This window comes from Homo sapiens, chromosome 7 (assembly GCF_000001405.40).
Source record: "Homo sapiens chromosome 7, GRCh38.p14 Primary Assembly".
NCBI classification, from domain to species: domain Eukaryota; kingdom Metazoa; phylum Chordata; class Mammalia; order Primates; family Hominidae; genus Homo; species Homo sapiens.
The window spans coordinates 99,546,300-99,561,828 of NC_000007.14; the positions used below are offsets into that span (position 1 = coordinate 99,546,300).

General features: G+C 45.4%; 2 protein-coding genes and 1 long non-coding RNA gene across 19 annotated transcripts in view, besides 3 other annotated features; 2 read left to right on the forward strand and 1 right to left on the reverse strand.

The window, feature by feature from the left end:
* Positions 1-12,244, reverse strand: FAM200A (family with sequence similarity 200 member A). 3 transcript variants are annotated; one of them, XM_047420022.1, is made up of 3 exons: positions 12,001-12,244; positions 8,637-11,172; positions 1-2,207 (listed from the first exon to the last, which is right to left on the reverse strand). In XM_047420022.1, the coding sequence occupies exon 3, from the start codon at positions 2,106-2,108 to the stop codon at positions 387-389; it is 1,722 nt and encodes a 573-aa protein (XP_047275978.1). In that variant the 5' UTR covers positions 2,109-2,207; positions 8,637-11,172; positions 12,001-12,244; the 3' UTR covers positions 1-386. The 3 variants fall into 3 exon arrangements, with proteins under 3 accessions (XP_047275978.1, XP_024302449.1, NP_659802.1); XM_024446681.2 differs by lacking the exon at positions 8,637-11,172; NM_145111.4 differs by lacking the exons at positions 8,637-11,172; positions 12,001-12,244 and adding an exon at positions 5,555-5,815.
* Positions 5,372-5,561: an enhancer, noted in NCBI's record as "active region_26324". NCBI's record gives its function as "activates an Ori minimal core promoter by ATAC-STARR-seq in GM12878 lymphoblastoid cells {active_cell/tissue: GM12878}" and the evidence as "EXISTENCE:reporter gene assay evidence [ECO:0000049][PMID:35858748]".
* Positions 5,866-9,658, forward strand: LOC105375422 (uncharacterized). 3 transcript variants are annotated; one of them, XR_007060452.1, is made up of 4 exons: positions 5,882-5,963; positions 6,065-6,185; positions 7,226-7,332; positions 8,437-8,638. It is a non-coding gene; the product is annotated as an uncharacterized LOC105375422 (long non-coding RNA). The 3 variants fall into 3 exon arrangements; XR_927801.4 differs by having other exon boundaries at positions 5,866-6,185; positions 8,437-9,658; XR_927802.3 differs by lacking the exon at positions 8,437-8,638 and adding an exon at positions 7,434-7,546 and having other exon boundaries at positions 5,866-6,185.
* Positions 11,988-12,117: an enhancer, noted in NCBI's record as "active region_26325". NCBI's record gives its function as "activates an Ori minimal core promoter by ATAC-STARR-seq in GM12878 lymphoblastoid cells {active_cell/tissue: GM12878}" and the evidence as "EXISTENCE:reporter gene assay evidence [ECO:0000049][PMID:35858748]".
* Positions 12,148-12,417: an enhancer, noted in NCBI's record as "active region_26326". NCBI's record gives its function as "activates an Ori minimal core promoter by ATAC-STARR-seq in GM12878 lymphoblastoid cells {active_cell/tissue: GM12878}" and the evidence as "EXISTENCE:reporter gene assay evidence [ECO:0000049][PMID:35858748]".
* ZNF655 (zinc finger protein 655) overlaps positions 12,343-15,529 on the forward strand; it is a 17,812-nt gene continuing 14,625 nt past the window's right edge. For 4 of the 13 annotated variants that reach the window (NM_001083956.2, NM_138494.3, NM_024061.4 and 1 more), the window contains exons 1-2: positions 12,343-12,488; positions 14,234-14,396. In NM_001083956.2, the coding sequence (NP_001077425.1) occupies positions 14,261-14,396 (136 nt within the window). In that variant the 5' untranslated portion in view covers positions 12,343-12,488; positions 14,234-14,260. Of the gene's footprint in view, positions 12,489-12,525; positions 12,723-14,233; positions 14,397-15,529 lie in introns of those variants that run through there. The other 9 variants (NM_001085368.1, NM_001009960.1, NM_001085367.1 and 6 more) reach the window with 3 other exon arrangements.

Genomic DNA, 15,529 nt, shown 5'->3' on the forward strand with positions numbered 1-15,529 from the left:
TCCTAATTACAAATATAATTTTATTAACGTTTAACTACAACATACTGCAAAATCCCTTTAAAAGTACAAATACAATTTTTTTTTTTTGAGATGAAGTCTCACGCTGTTGCCCAGGCTGGAATGCAGTGGGATTATCTCAGCTCACTGCAATCTCTGCCTTCCTGGTTTAAGAGATTCTCCTGCCTCAGGCACCCAAGTAACTGGGACTGCAGGCATGTGCCACCACGCCTGGCTAAGGTTTCTATTTTTAGTAGAGATGGGGTTTCACCATGTTGGCCAGGCTGGTCTTGAACTCAAGTGATCTGCCCACCTCGGTCTCCCACTGCTGGGATTACAGGCGTAAGCCACCACACCTGGCTATACACAGAATTTTGTAAAGTTTGTATTTAATGTGATGGGTGTGCTTGTCTGTTCATAAGTTCCTTCCAGTCAGGAACACATGAAGATAATGCTACCCGCATATCTGGTGCACTATTGAGCCTATTTCTCTTCTTTGTTTTTAACCGTGTCAAGATTGAAAATCCTAGTTCACACAAATATGTAGTTGTGAATGGTAGTAACAGCAATATACTCTTCCTACTTAGCAGTGGAAAGTCATCTTTAATCTTAATCCAAAATGCTGATAAACTTAATATCTTATAATAATTCTTTAGTGTGAATGATGAACTGAGCTGCAATAATTCATTCTCTTCTTCAGGCTCCAAGTTTAACTCAATTATTGATTCTGGGTTTTGAAAAGCAAATGGATCTTTCATCCAAATATTTTCCTTTAATGATTCAAATTTCTCTTCCGGAAAGTAATAATTAAAAGTTTGAGACAAAGAAGTGAGATGCAACAATATCTCTAATTTTATTTCTTTTAAGCAGTCTTCATTAATAATGTTCTCTTCGATGTGTTGCAATAATGTTGGAAACATATAGTAGCTAGGGCGGTTACTTTTAAGTCTTGCTTGCCACAATAATAACGTCTTTTGGAATCCTAGAATATGTTCAAGATACTGAAATATATCATTGTTTTTCCCCTGCATTTTCAGGCTTAATTCATTAAGAATGCCAAAAATATCACTTAAATATGCCAATTTTGTTACCCAAATGTCGTCTTCAAAAATATTTGCCAAATGAGATTGCTTTTCAACGAGAAAAATGTAAATCTCGTTCCTGAGTTCATATACTCTGCTCAATACTTTTCCTTGAGAAAGCCAACGAACTTCTGTATGAAACAATAAGTGGGTGTGGTTCACTCCAATCTCTGAACAAAATATTTCGAGAAGTCGGCTATTCAGTGAGCTTCCTTTAATAAAATTAACAGTTTTCACTGCATTTTTCAATACATCCATCAGACTTGGTGAAATTTCTTTGGATACCAAAGCTTCTCGATGAATAAAACAGTGATTCCAAACAGCATTGTTGTGGGTTGCTTCTAACAATTTTTCAGTAAGTCTGCTGTGTTTTCCGGTCATATTTGCTGTTCCATCACTTGAAATTCCTTTACAATGTTTCCAGTTTAATTTATACTGACCAAGAAGGCAGTTTTCTAATTCAGTAAATAAATCTAATCCAGTTATATGTGAATTTAAATTTAAACAACATAAGAGATCCTCTACAAAATCATCTTGCCACACATATCTGACATAAACCAAGAGTGTGGGACAACTTGCAATATCAGTGCTCTCATCGAGTTGGATTGCAAAGTCTATACCGGACTGCAGCCGTGTAATAAGCATTGCTTCCAAATGTTTTGCAATCGTACAGATTCGACGAGATATTGTATTATCACTAAGAGGTATAGTTCTTAGTTTATCAGCTGATTTGTCATCAAAAATTGTCCGTACCATGTCCATACATGCTGGAAGGATAATTTTTTCAGCCGCTGTGTGAGCCATTTTCTCTTTTGCCACTCTATATGCAACTAAATACGATGACAATAAGGCTCTCTCATTCATAGTTGTAGAGCGACTGAGAACTTGTGGCGATGACTCTACTTTGTTTCTTTCCTTTTGAAAATGGTCTTCTTCATCTTCCTCCTCCACCTTCACTATCACGATGCCTTCCATCTCCTGGGTACCCCCTGGAGACAAATCTGTAGTATCCCTTGATTCAGGAGTCATTATTCAGGTTCCAGGAACTGGCTCACTTGATCCAAATAGGGTCTGTTTTGCAGGGCTGTCCTTTGTGACCTAGGTTTTATGAGATCAGGTTTTGCTATCCTGCAGGGTAGAAAAACGTAACAGCAGTATTAAAAAGCAACATGGTATTGCTGGGCTAACAACTCATACAAAACAATTCACTAAATCTAGTGGTGTGACATGGTAAATGATGAGCAACTGTCATTCATGTTGGCTGTGTGTCAGGGAGATTTGGTGTACTATATACACCACTCATTTAATACCCAGGGAAACCTAATGAGGTTCACATAATTACTATTCTTATATTACAGATGAAAAATAAAAGTTCAGAAAGATTAAATGTGTCTAACAACCCACAGTAAGTATAGAACCAGCACTCAAATCCAAGTCTGAAGCGAGTGTCCTAAATATGCTGCTACACTGCCAACTCTAAAAAGTGATCTGGTCATTCTTTTTTTTTTTTTTTTTTTTGAGATGGAGTTTCGCTCTTGTTGCCCAGGCTGGAGTGCAAGGGCACGATCTCGGCTCACTGCAACCTCCACTTCCCAGGTTAAAGTGATTCTCCTGCCTCTGCCTCCCAAGTAGCTGGAATTACAGGCCATGTGCCACCACGCCTGGGCAACTGAGCAAGACGCTGTCTCAAAAAAAAAAAACAAAAAACAAAAAACAAAAAAAACCATCAGGTAGGGTACATAGGGTACACAAGATGATCCACTGGGGCATAGGGAAAAAAATGAGAACTTGTATTTCTTAAAAATAAGAAATTAAGCTGCATAATTATTCAGTATTATGAATATTGAAACATGTTCATGTTACATAGATCCATGAATTATTCTGGAGGGAGAATGAGATTTCCACAACACATGCGATTGACAAAACACCCTCATTTGTTTGTTTGCTTTTAGTACACTGCAATATTTCACCATTCATGTGAGTTTAGTGGATTTAAAGATATTACCTGACTTAGGAAACAACAGGTGCCGGAGAGGATGTGGAGAAATAGGAATACTTTTACGTTGTTGGTGGGACTGTAAACTAGTTCAACCACTGTGGAAGACAGTGTGGCGATTCCTCAAAGATCTAGAACTAGAAATACCATTTGACCCAGCCATCCCATTACTGGGTATATACCCAAAGGATTATAAATCATGCTGCTATAAAGACACATGCACATGTATGTTTATTGCGGCACTATTCACAATAGCAAAGACTTGGAACCAACCCAAACATCCATCAATGATAGACTGGATTAAGAAAATGTGGCACATATACACCATGGAATACTATGCAGCCATAAAAAAGGATGAGTTTATGTCCTTTGTAGGGACATGGATGAAGTTGGAAACCATCATTCTGAGCAAACTATCGCAAGGACAGAAAACCAAACACTGCATGTTCTCATTCACAGGTGGGAACTGAACAATGAGAACACTTGGACACAGGGTGGGGAACATCACACAGTGGGGCCTGTCATGGGGTGGGGGAAGTGGGGAGGGATAGCATTAGGAGATATACCTAATGTAAATGATGAGTTAACGGGTGCAGCACACCAACATGGCACATGTATACATATGTAACTAACCTGCACATTGTGCACATGTACCCTAGAACTTAAAGTATAATAAAAAAAAGTAAATAATAAAAAAAAACTTAAAAAAAGTTATTACCTGACTTTACTAAATGAACCCCCCCCTTTTTTTTTTGAGACGGAGTCTAGCTCTGTTGCTGAGGCTGGACTGCAGTGGCACGATCTCAGCTCACTGCAACCTCCGCCTCCAGGGTTCAAGTGATTCTTCCGCCTCAGCCTCCCGAGTAGCTGGGATTATAGGCGCCCAACACCAGGCCCAGCTAATTTTTGTCTTTTTAGTAGATACGGGGTTTCACTGTGTTGGCCAGGCTAGTCTCAAACTCCTGACCTCGTGATCCACCCACCTCGGCCTCCCAAAGTGCTGGGATTACAAGCCTGAGCCACAGCACCTGGCCAACGAACCCCTTTTCTTTGGTACTGTGTCACTTAGCCTCTCTCAATAATGCAAGTAACTTTCTGTATGTTGGTGGCACAAATGGAAATGAATGTGGGGCCATAGGTTTTGCTTAGCTGAATGTTAAATTCAGTCTATCGGCAGATTCCAAAATTGGAAGAGACCTTGAGATAATCTATTTTACTTTACTTAGGACACATTTGAGACTTGGTGGGTCTATGTGTTTCATCCAAGAACATCAATGGCAGAACTGGTACCAGTCCCCAATGGTCCGCTGCACCGTCCACAAATTCCCTTCTCTCCTTTATCCCTCGATGTCAAGCATAGATACCTCCCACAACTGAAAACCCCCCATGTCCGAAATTGCTCATTTAAAACCCTTCCTGGCAGGGCGTGGTGGCTGACCCCTGTAATTGCAGCACTTTGGGAGGCCGAGGCGGGCGGATCACCTGAGGTCAGGAGTTCATTTTCCCAGCCTGGCCAACATGGCGAAACCCCGTCTCTACTAAAAGTACAAAAATTAGCCGGGCATGGTGGCAGGCGCCTGTAATTCCAGCTACTCAGGAAGCTGAGGCAGGAGAAGCTTGAACTCGGGCGCTGGAGGTTGCAGTGAGCCGAGATCGCACCACTGCACTCCAGCCTGGGCGACTCTGTCTCAAAAACAAAAAAACCAACCAAAGAAACAAAAAGACCCCTTCCTAAAGTCTTGAAAGGAAAGGGTGAAGTGTAAATGAGCTTTTCCTATTATATCCAAATCACTTCTTTATTCAGTAGGCTTCAAACATTCTCTTTTTTTGTTTTTGAGACAGAGTCTCACTCTCTCTCTCTGTCTCCCAGGCTGGAGTGCAGTGACGCGATCCTGGCTCACTGCAACCTCCGCCTCCCGGGTTCAAGCGATTCCCCTGCCTCAGCCTCCCAAGCAGCTGGGATTACAGGCGTGTGCCGCCACGTCTAATTTTCTGTATTTCTAGTAGAGACAGGGTTTCTCTAGGTTGGCAAGGCTGATCTCAGAACTCCTGGCCTCAAACGATTCGCCTGCCTAGGCTTCCCAAAGTGCTGGGATTATGGGCGTGAGCCACTGCGCCCGGCCTTCACTCTAATCACCACCATAATGGTACTGGGTTTGAGGGTGAACATATCATCCGCGGACACTGGCTTAACGAGCCCATCCGAATAAAACAAATTATAAGGCCAATGGCACTTGGTATCGTGTAAGATCGCCAGAATTTTACAACTCGGGGTACCCAGGAAACCAGAAAAGCCCCCACCACAAGAAAAACCAGTGGGCACAACTGGGGAGCACAGATATCTGACTGGGGTCATTTTGTCCGCGCGTCTTTGGGGTAAAACACCAGGACTGGGGGTCCAGAAGGGACACGCAGACCGCCTCTCTCCAGTCCCAGGGGTGTCTCCAATCCGGAAACCAAAACTTCGTTCCCTTCCCACCTGTATCCAGGGACACCTCTGCTGGGGGACAGCGCTTGCCACCGCCGAGGCTGGCGCGAGGAACGGGGGCACGGACCCGCTTCCACTCCGTCCCGGGCGGTCGTGGCGAGGGGATTGCAGGACACAGCCATGCACGTCCAACTCTGTCCCCGCCCGGAGAAGTCTGGGATGCTGGGATAGAAGGGGTTGTGACTTTGGGGACCAGGAGCACTAGACTCACATCCAAGCCCCCTGGCCTTCAGAGCCCAGGGAAAGCGTCACAAAAGCCGGAAGTGCGTCACACCCGCCTTCCGGAGCTGCGCTCCGCTTCGGGGTCCTCTCTAGGATCGCGGGAGGACTTTGCATCCCTGTGTAGGGCTCTAATCTCGGGTTTGGGGATCTTGCTCCTCAGCTTGTCCGCTCCGAGGAGGTGCACAGGGCGGGGAAAAAGGGATGAATTTCCCTTTATACCGCCCTGCTCAGATATTTATATGTTCCTTCTATTTTTCTTGATGACAATAATTGTAATAGTTACAATAAAAATAGTGATTGTCTGTGGCAGAGGAGCTGAATGAAACGAGGGTGGAGACAGGAAGATCAAGAATAAATGGTTTCACAAATCGAAGGGATTGTCTCTTGAGACGCTGATTATGTACGTATTGCCAGTTGAATGGGCAGTATTTTCAAATACTTGATCTATAGGCAACAGACGTTCTTTCCAACACTAGATAGTTATAAAATTCTGAGTTTGCCTTATGTTTCCAGGGAGTTTTCAGATTAGCAACGGTGAAATAAGTTGAATTTGAGGCGTTTTTGCTGTCCAAGTGTTATTGTAATAATTAGGGCTTCTATGATTAGATCAAGAATAACTTCACCTTTTATAAAACAGTAACTGAGACCTTGAATGGCTGGGGCATGACTCTAAAAGTTCTGGGCAAGTCTGTGGTACAGCCCAATAAGATAAAAGCCTACAAAAGGAACGGCTACCTGATACAGAGCCTATGATTACGTGGTATCCCGAATTACCTTCTAGACCCTCACTAATGCTCCATTCCTTAGGGGGTTTGATCTTGCTATGGTTGCCATTTTCTACCTACCCACGAGTCTTCTCAATAATCCACTTAAGTGCATCTTTGCTCCATATATATATATACACACATATATATACACACACATATATATACACATATATATACATGTATATATATATACACACACATATATATATATACACACACATATATATATATATATATATATATATATATTTTTTTTTTTTTTTTTTTCCTCCTAGGGCACCGTCAAATCCAATCTTTGCTCCTTTATCACTGGCTGGCTTTCTAACCTACAGTCCTCCGTGATGACATCATAGTCTCAACTTATTCCTCCAGATACATCCTCATATTTCCTTCCAGGGTTCCAAGTCATCGCTAAGAGTCATTACATTGCTACACACTGTATTTTTCTTCTTTGTCTAAAGTCTCTCCTCCCCACCCGTCCCCATTCCTACACTGAAGTGCCTAAAGGGTCCAGGAAGGCAGATTACTGAATGCAGTTGACTGGGTATATGATTTTGTATTTATGTTGTGTGTGTGGCAGGAATTGTAGGCATCTCTATAACGACTCCTTTCTTTGCCTACGGACCTACTGGCACAAGAAACTCAAAGTGGCCTGGTGGTATTCTGTTTTCAGTTCAGTGGCACGATTTAATGTTTCCTAGAGGAAATGTTCTTCCTGGAAATGAGGATCATAACCCAGCTGGCTCCAGATTTCGGAGCGAGGAGGCACAAATTCTACAGGTGAGTGGCTGGGTGTGATAGTAATAGAGGCTACTCCTGTATGCACATAGTCCTACTGGAGACACAATACTATATATCCATTTTGGCCCAATGCATTTCAGCGCATATACCATATTCTGAAGAACTGCTCCCAACTTTGCAAGGCATTACATCTTAATCGCAATTTAGCCCAGTCTTCAACAGGCCATTCCAAAACCCTATCTGGCTAGCTGCTTCTGGATGATGAGTATGCACCATGAATTTTGTAGCTTCGAGTTCACTGTCACACCTCCTTGGCTATCGGTGGGTTCCTTAGTTTCAGGTATGTCAATGGATAAGGCACCCTGTAAGCTCTCAGATGGTGGTGCTGCTGGAGGCAAAGTAGTTGGGGAAGACAAGCTCATTTAGAGCATATATCAATTCTGGTAAGAACAAATTGATGCCCATTCCAAGGTAAAAGGGATCTGATGCACTCAACCTGGTGGTAGCTGGTATCTCTAAGACTCAGTGTTGGTCTCTAATGCTGGCAGGCTGGACACTCCACCATGGTGAGAGTTACATCAGCCTTGGTAAGAGGTAGACCATATTGGCCGGGCACGGTGGCTCACACCTGTAATGTCAGCACTTTGGGAGGCTGAGGTGGGTGGATCACAAGTTCAGGAGTTCGAGACCAGCCTGAGCAACATGGTGAAACACCGTCTCAACTAAAAATACAGAAATTACCTGGGTACGGTGGTGTGTGCCTGTAGTCCCAGCTACTCGGGAGGCTGAGGCAGGAGAATTGCTTGAACCTGGGAGGTGGAGGCTGCAGTGAGCTGAGATCACACCACTGCACTCCAGCCTGGGCAACAGGGCGAGACTCCGTCTCAAAAAAAAAAAAAAAAAAAAAAGAAAAATAAGAGGTAGCCCATATTGTTGGGACCACGCACAGCCTCTATCCCTGCTACCATGGTCTCTGTTCATAAGCCTATTGCATAAACAATAAGATGGTCCCTAACCAACAAGCCAAGCCATTCATCACTGCCTAGGAGTCAATGCATATCCCTACCTTAGGCTACCTCCTCCAAAATATGGCATGGGTGACCAAATGTACCATTGCTCACTGAGATAATTTTTCTTCACCAGTATGCTTCAGGGCAACGCGAGTGGGGCTGTAATGAAGAACAGTCTGTTTCTGGAAGATGCCAACATGCTGAACTGACCCAATCCCCAATCTGTGCAGAGGCCAAGGCTCTTCTGTCTCCATCAGTTAGTTGTAGGGAACTTTTATAAGGCCATAGGAGTAAGTTTATGGGAGAGGTGGCAGTAGAGCAGAGGTAACTGACCTGGGAGTTTGGAAACGTGGGTTTTGTTTTTTTGCCTTAGAAGGCATGACCTTGCTCCAGAATCTTAGGTATTTGTGCTGTGACTCTTTATGATGGGTTGAATTGTACCTCCACCTCATCCCCAATTAACAGGTTGAAGTTCTAGCCCCTAATACCTCAGAATGTGAAATTATTTGGCAATAGAGGCATTGCAGATGTAATTACTTCAAGATGAGGTCATAGTGGATTAGGGTGGGTCCCTCATCTAATGACTGGTATCCTTATAAAAAAGGGAAGTTTAGAGATAGTACACAGGGAGAATGCCAAATGAAGATGAGGGTAAAGACTGGGAAAATGCTTCTTACGATGCCAAGGAATGCAAAATATATCCAGCAAATCCCCAGAAACTAGGAGAGAGGCATGGACAGATTCCTTCTCACAGCCTCAATAGGAACCACACCTTAATTTCTGACTTCTAGCCTCCAGACTGTGAACCAACAGATTTCTGTTGTTTAAGCCACCCAGTTTGTGGTACTTTGTTATAGGAGCCCTAGCACACGAATGCACACTCTTATTGGGGTTTGCCAGCAACTCCATACAGCACCTGTATCCATCAAGGATATTTCTGGAACCACTGAATTTGCAAGTAAGCTTGCACTGTTGCTTGGATTTACTATAGAGTGCTCTCTTGCCCCAATAAAAAGTGGAAGCTGGCCAGGCATGGTGGCTCACGTCTGTAATCCCAGCACTTTGGGAGGCGGAGGTGGGTGGATTGCTTGAGGTCAGGAGTTCAAGATCAGCCTGGCTAACATGGTGAAACCCCTCCACTACTAAAATACAAAAATGCTGGGCATGGTGGCGGGCGCCTGTAATCCCAGCTACTAGGGAGGCTGAGGCAGGAGAATTGCTTGAATCCAGAAAGCAGAGGTTGCAGTGAGCCGAGATCACGGCACTGTACTCCAGCCTGGGCTACAGAGCAAGACTCCGTGTCAAGAAAAAAAAATAGTAATAAATAAAAAGTGGAAGCTTTTTAGGTCACCTAATACATGTGTTGGAACAGTTTTCTCAGGTGCAGAATATGCTACCTCCCAAATCCAAAGGGGCCCACCAGGACCTGTACCAATTTTTTTGGGATTAGAGGGTGCAAGGTGGAACAACTTTCTTTTACCTTTGGGTGATGTCCCCAAACCACTGGGCCCCACCAAAACTTCATCCATTTGATAAGTGCCCATATCTTCAGGTTTCTGTACTGCCTTAGTAAGAAGTCTTACTAGGATATTTATGACCCTTGTCACTTGCTGCTCACTGGGTACTACTAGCATTTGTCATCAATATATGGACCATCATGATGGTTGGGTAAAGTTCCTGCGGACTACACTGTGACAGAGAACAGGTCTCAGGATCCCACCCTCTCCCTGTATGAGCCACGACTTTGACTCAGGGGACCTGCCGAGTCTGCACAATTGGTCTCCTTTACATTACTGTCACTGTTACAAACAGATCCTCGGCCTAATTTTCAGCTTAGCTAGATGCAGAATTACCTTAGTAATTTATAAAAAATCAGCTATTGTATGTATCTAGATCTATTTCTGGACTTTTTTTTCTTTAAGAAATTCAACCTCATATTTCTGGACTTTCTGTTCTGCTCTGTTGATCTATTTGTCTCTATGCTGATACCATACCATCCTGATTACTGTACCTTTAGGAAAAAAATCTTAAAAAAATACAAGTATTCCAATTTTATTCTTTTTCAAAATTGTTTTGGCAATCCTAAATCCTTAGCATTTCTATATAAACTTTAGAATCAGTTTGTTAATTTGCACTAAAAAAAACAAAACAGGCTCGGTGCAGTGGCTCACGCCTGTAATCCCAGCACTTTGGGAGGCCAAGACGGGCGGATCACCCGAGGTCAGGAGTTTGAGACCAGCCTGGCCAACATGGTGAAACCCCATCTCTACTAAAAATACAAAAATTAGCTAGGTGTGGTGGTGCCCACCTGTAATCCCATCTACTCTGGAGGCTGAGGCAGGGAAAATGCTTGAACCTGGGAGCTGGAGGTTGCAGTGAGCTGAGATCGCGCCACTGCACTCCAGCCTGGGCGACAGAGCAAGACTCTGTCTCAACAACAACAAAAAGACAAAAACGAAAAAAGGTAACAATTTTTTGAGTTGTTTCCACCTCTGTCATCTGGCAAACTGTTAAAAGAAAATTTTGCTCAAAAGCAAAATAGCAGCTGCTGTTTCTTAACACTTTGTTATGTTTTGATGAGTACTGGTGGGAAGTGGCCTCTTTAAGTGGGTACCTTTTGTGGTCCTCTCACTGGAGCCAATTGCCTGAGTCAGCTAAAACTTGGACGCGATGTGCCTCACTGCCATAGCTCACTCACCTTTGCTGCTGAAATGGTTTCCCATCACATTGCTAATAGGTACAACCTGTGAAGGGTTCTAGGTGGGGAAATGGCAACTCAGGAAGAACTCCAAACCTTTAGCTCTCCTAGGATATTAAAATGGCCGTTATGAAGAGGAAGAAGTACTGTGTCATCTATTGTCCTGGGGACCTGTCAACAGGAACAATAGATAGACATCACCAGGGGTGTATTTCTGTTCAACACAAGGAAAAGTTTCTAATTGGAGCTGTCCAGCATGAAATGGACTAAGCAGTGCATTTTCTTTCTCCGATCCTGACTCCACTGTGACGGGCACTGCAGACTAGAGAGATTGTGTCCTAGTATGAATTTAGGTTGGATAAATGATACTTAGGGATAAAGAGAGGAAAGGAATATCAGAATCTCCAAGAAGCTGATACATTTTGAAAAAATATATAAAATGCCACACTTCAGGTTTTCTTGTGTTTAATTTGAAACGTCCAGTAACATTAAAGAACAGCATTTGATTTGCTTAAACAAAGTAGTAACAGCTGAAGTTCCTTCCAAATCACTTTTCTGATTCTCTAAGAGGCTTGCCTATGCCTTGCAGATCTAGCTTCACCTACAAGACATATTCTGTAAGGATCCAGGTTCAGCAAGGTGTCAGAATGTCCTAAGGGTTTCTGTCCCGGCGCTCTGCCTGTCCCGCTTGTGCACAATGCTTTTGCCTATCCCTGTTTCTGCATAGATTTTAGTCTTCCCACCAGGGACGCAACTGTCAGTTTCCTCCGTCTCTCTCGGTTCTATTCCAATCTGCTCATCTCCCCTCCCGTCCCCGCTTTCCCCAAGGACCTACTGAGATTTCGATCCCACAACTTAGTGGGTCCCATCTCACCCAGGCCCCGCAATCCTCGCCTTCTACTTGTCAGCGTTGTACTACACTCTGAGCAGGCACCCCTGTGCTACTCACGGAAGCGGGACCATTAGGTCGGCCATTCCTCCTCACCCCACGACACGCACCCACTGGGTCGGGCCGCCTCCTTGCAGGGAGTCTCAAGGATGGGCTGGCGTCAGGGAGGGGCCCAGGGGGCGCTTTCCCAACACTGGTCGCAGTCATTGTTGGTATAACGGCTAGAGACGCCCAGTGAGTTAGCATGGAGGGCAGTGGGACCGGAAAAAGACGTGGAAAAGCTGCGAAAACGAGCCTTCGAATCATGGACGCGCGGGCCCAGCTCCTCCTCCGAGTTCCTCATCCGGGGCCGTCACTCACATCCGGGGCCCTCACTCACATCCGGGACCCTCATCCGGGGCTCTCACCCACATCCGGGACCCTCATGCCTGGGCGGAGGAGGGGGGGCCCTCATTCGGGACCCTGCACTCCGTCGCCGGAAGTGCCACCGAGAAGCGCCGGCCTCGGGGCTGTCTACAGCGGCCCGGGAGAGGCTGTGGTGGCCCCGAGCGCGAGTGTGTAGGTGACAGGACAGCGGCCAGGCCCGCCCCTCCCCTCGGTGAGTACCCGGAAGCCGTTTTGGGGTCGCAGCGGGGTGGCAGCTTGTTTTGCCTTCACGGGAGTAGAAGGAGGCGGCGTCCGGCCGCGGCCGACGGTAGTTCGCTTCCCCGAGAGTGCGCGGAGGCCCGGGTGCGAGGAGGGCCTGTTTCTCTTCAGCCCTGGTTCATTCACCTCGCGGACCGAGGGCCCCGCCGTCAGGAGCCGGCGACCGTGCCCTGGTGCGAGCTGGTCTGTATGTCCTCACTGGTCCTTTTGGGACTTTGCCTTGGCCTAAAAGGGAAGTGGGAGGAGGGCAGCGCCGGGCAAGGCCTTCTGAGGACCGAGCTGGGAGCCGGGCAGGGGCCCAGGGCGAGGGTGGTGGGAGGGGGACGGCACCCTCATGCGTCCTTGGGCCTGAAGGACGCCGCTCAAACCTGTTCGAACCGCAGCTCTTACCTGCGTTGCTCTCAGGATTCCGGGAAAAGGCCGGTCTAGCTGGTCTGAGTTAGCGAAGGGCCTGACCCCAAAAGTGGAGTTTTATTCGCCAAGCCCGTGTAGTAAATCGGAGTGGGCTGACGGTGTTACCAAGACATTTCCTAGGGGGCCTGCTGTTTTATTTATTTAAATGAGTTTATTTACGTAAACGCGGGCCTGTCACGGTGGTTCACGCCGTAATCCCCGCACTTTGGGAGGCCGAAGTGGGAGGATCGCTTGAGGCCAGGCGTTCGAGTCCAGCCTGGGCAACATAGCGAGACTCCCATCTCTGCTAAAACAAAATTAAAATAAAATGAGCAATCATAACTAGCATTTTTCTCTGGGCACCAACTTGAGCCTCCAAAGACGATTGTAAATTTTAAATATTTTGTTTTGTTTATTTGAGGTGGGCTGTCACGCTGTCATACAGGCTGGAATGCAGTGGCGCAGTCATAGCTCACTGCAGCCTCTACCTCCCAAGCTCAAGCGATTCTCCTGCCTTGGCCTTTGGAGTAGCTGGAACTACAGGCCTGGGCCACCTAATTTTTTTTTTTTTTTTTTTTTTTGTAGGGACGGGGTTTCACCATGTTGTCCAGGACGGTCTGGAACTCCTGAGCTTAAGGGATCCACCCGTCTGTGCCTCCCAAACTGTTGGGATTACAGGCTTGAGCCACCGCACGTGGCCAATTTTAAATATTTTAAAGTTTCCACAGAAAGCTTTACACTATTAAATTGTACCGTGTTAATTTTTTTAATGCCACAAATTCCAAATTAGAGACTCTTCTATGATTTGGTTCTTAAGTATTTAAAGCTGAAGCATATCCATATTTCTTTTTCTTTTTTTTCTTTTTTTTTTTTTTGGGACGGAGTCTCACTGTGTTGCCCAGGTTGGAGTGCAGTGGTGCAATCTTGGCTCACTGCCACGTATGCCTTCTGTATTCAAGCAATTCTCCTGCCTCAGCCTCCCGAATAGCTGGGATTACAGACCCGCACCACCACGCTGGCTAATTTTTGTATTTTTAGTAGAGAAGAAGTTGCACCATGTTGATCAGGCTGGTCTTGAACTCCTGACCTCAAGTGATCTTCCCGCCTCAGCCTCCCAAAGTGCTGGGATTACAGGCCACTGCGCCTGGCCCCATTTTTCTGTTACTTATTTAGGGTGGTTAATCATTATCAACTAATTTTTATTGAATATCCATAGTGTGTAAGATCCTTTGCAAAGTCCTGACGATATAAAATGATGAAATGCTTTAACTTATTACAGTAATTTCTCTTAATCTTACCTTGCAGTGATGGTCATTGTCCTCCAGAGCAGTGATGGAGGAAATACCAGCCCAGGAAGCAGCAGGGTCACCAAGGGTCCAGTTTCAGTCTTTGGAGACCCAGTCTGAGTGTCTGTCCCCAGAGCCTCAGTTTGTGCAGGACACCGACATGGAACAGGGACTCACTGGGGGTAAGGCAGAGAAAGCACTTCCGTCTGGGAGAGTGGGAGTGCGGAGGGGCTCCCGAGGGGGCTCCTGGGCCTGGTTTGAGAGAGGCCAAGAACTGGAATAAGAACATGGTCCCTAGAGGGAGGAATGAAAGAGGGGGCAGATGTGACTCAGTTCAGTCCTAGTCTGAGCCCCTTTATTAAGGATAGCTCATCTTTCTCAAATAAGCAGAGTGATGGCTGCTTACTCGCTGTGGTGGTTTTTCCTTCAGGCAACCTTCACTTCATCCCAGTTCTCACATCCAGAATAATTTCTAAGATATGCTGCTTTTGCCACATCTCACAGTCCTTTCCTGGCTCTCACTTCCTCTTAGGTTCAGGACCTTTCTTTCCCCTGTTCCCTTCACTTAGTTTTTCTTTGCTTTGTCACCTGCCATCCATTCTGTTGTAACTGCAGTGTTTTGTGACTAGACTAAATTTGGTCAAGGAAGCAACCATTTAATTCCTTGGTTGAACACAATGCCTGTATGAATGTATATATACTGTATTTTGACTACGCAGTCACACTTTGCTGTATCGTATAGGTAGGTTGGTCTTTTTCTTCCTTTGTTTTATAAGAGCTGTGTCTTAGATTGCCTGTGGTTAACTCTAGTGCCTGAAATAACTTGTGTGTCACCCACACAGATCAAGTGCCACAATGTGTAGAGTGCTGTGGGGGATTGTGGGACTGTGGAAAAGATTTCGAGGAAACAGATGACCCTTTCTTGTTCTTGGGGGCCTTACACACTGGTTGAGACAGCACCCATTCACAAGAGAAACGCTGATCAAGTGTCTAGAACAGTGCCTGGAAAGGGTCAGAAGTCTGCTAAATAACCCTAGCCCAGGACAAGTCCCCACAAGTCTTTATGCTTTGCTTTGCCCATCTGCAAAACAGGTATAGTCTTACTCTTCTGTAAGAGGACTGTCATGTGATGAAGATAAAGTGAAATACAAGCTTTCCTAAGAAAATCCTGTATCACAGGTCAAAACACGCATAAGGCATGCAAGTACTGAGACGAAGCAGAGTAGACACACCCAATACCTGAAAAATGTTCATTGGTTTTACTAGAGTATTGAGGAGGGTCCTGCTGACACCCCTTGGGCTGGAGAGGCCTCCT

What these genes read in the sequence shown, in the direction of transcription:
- FAM200A (XM_024446681.2), bottom strand. Translation starts at nt 2,108, where the DNA reads ATGACTCCTGAATCAAGGGATACTACAGATTTGTCTCCAGGGGGTACC.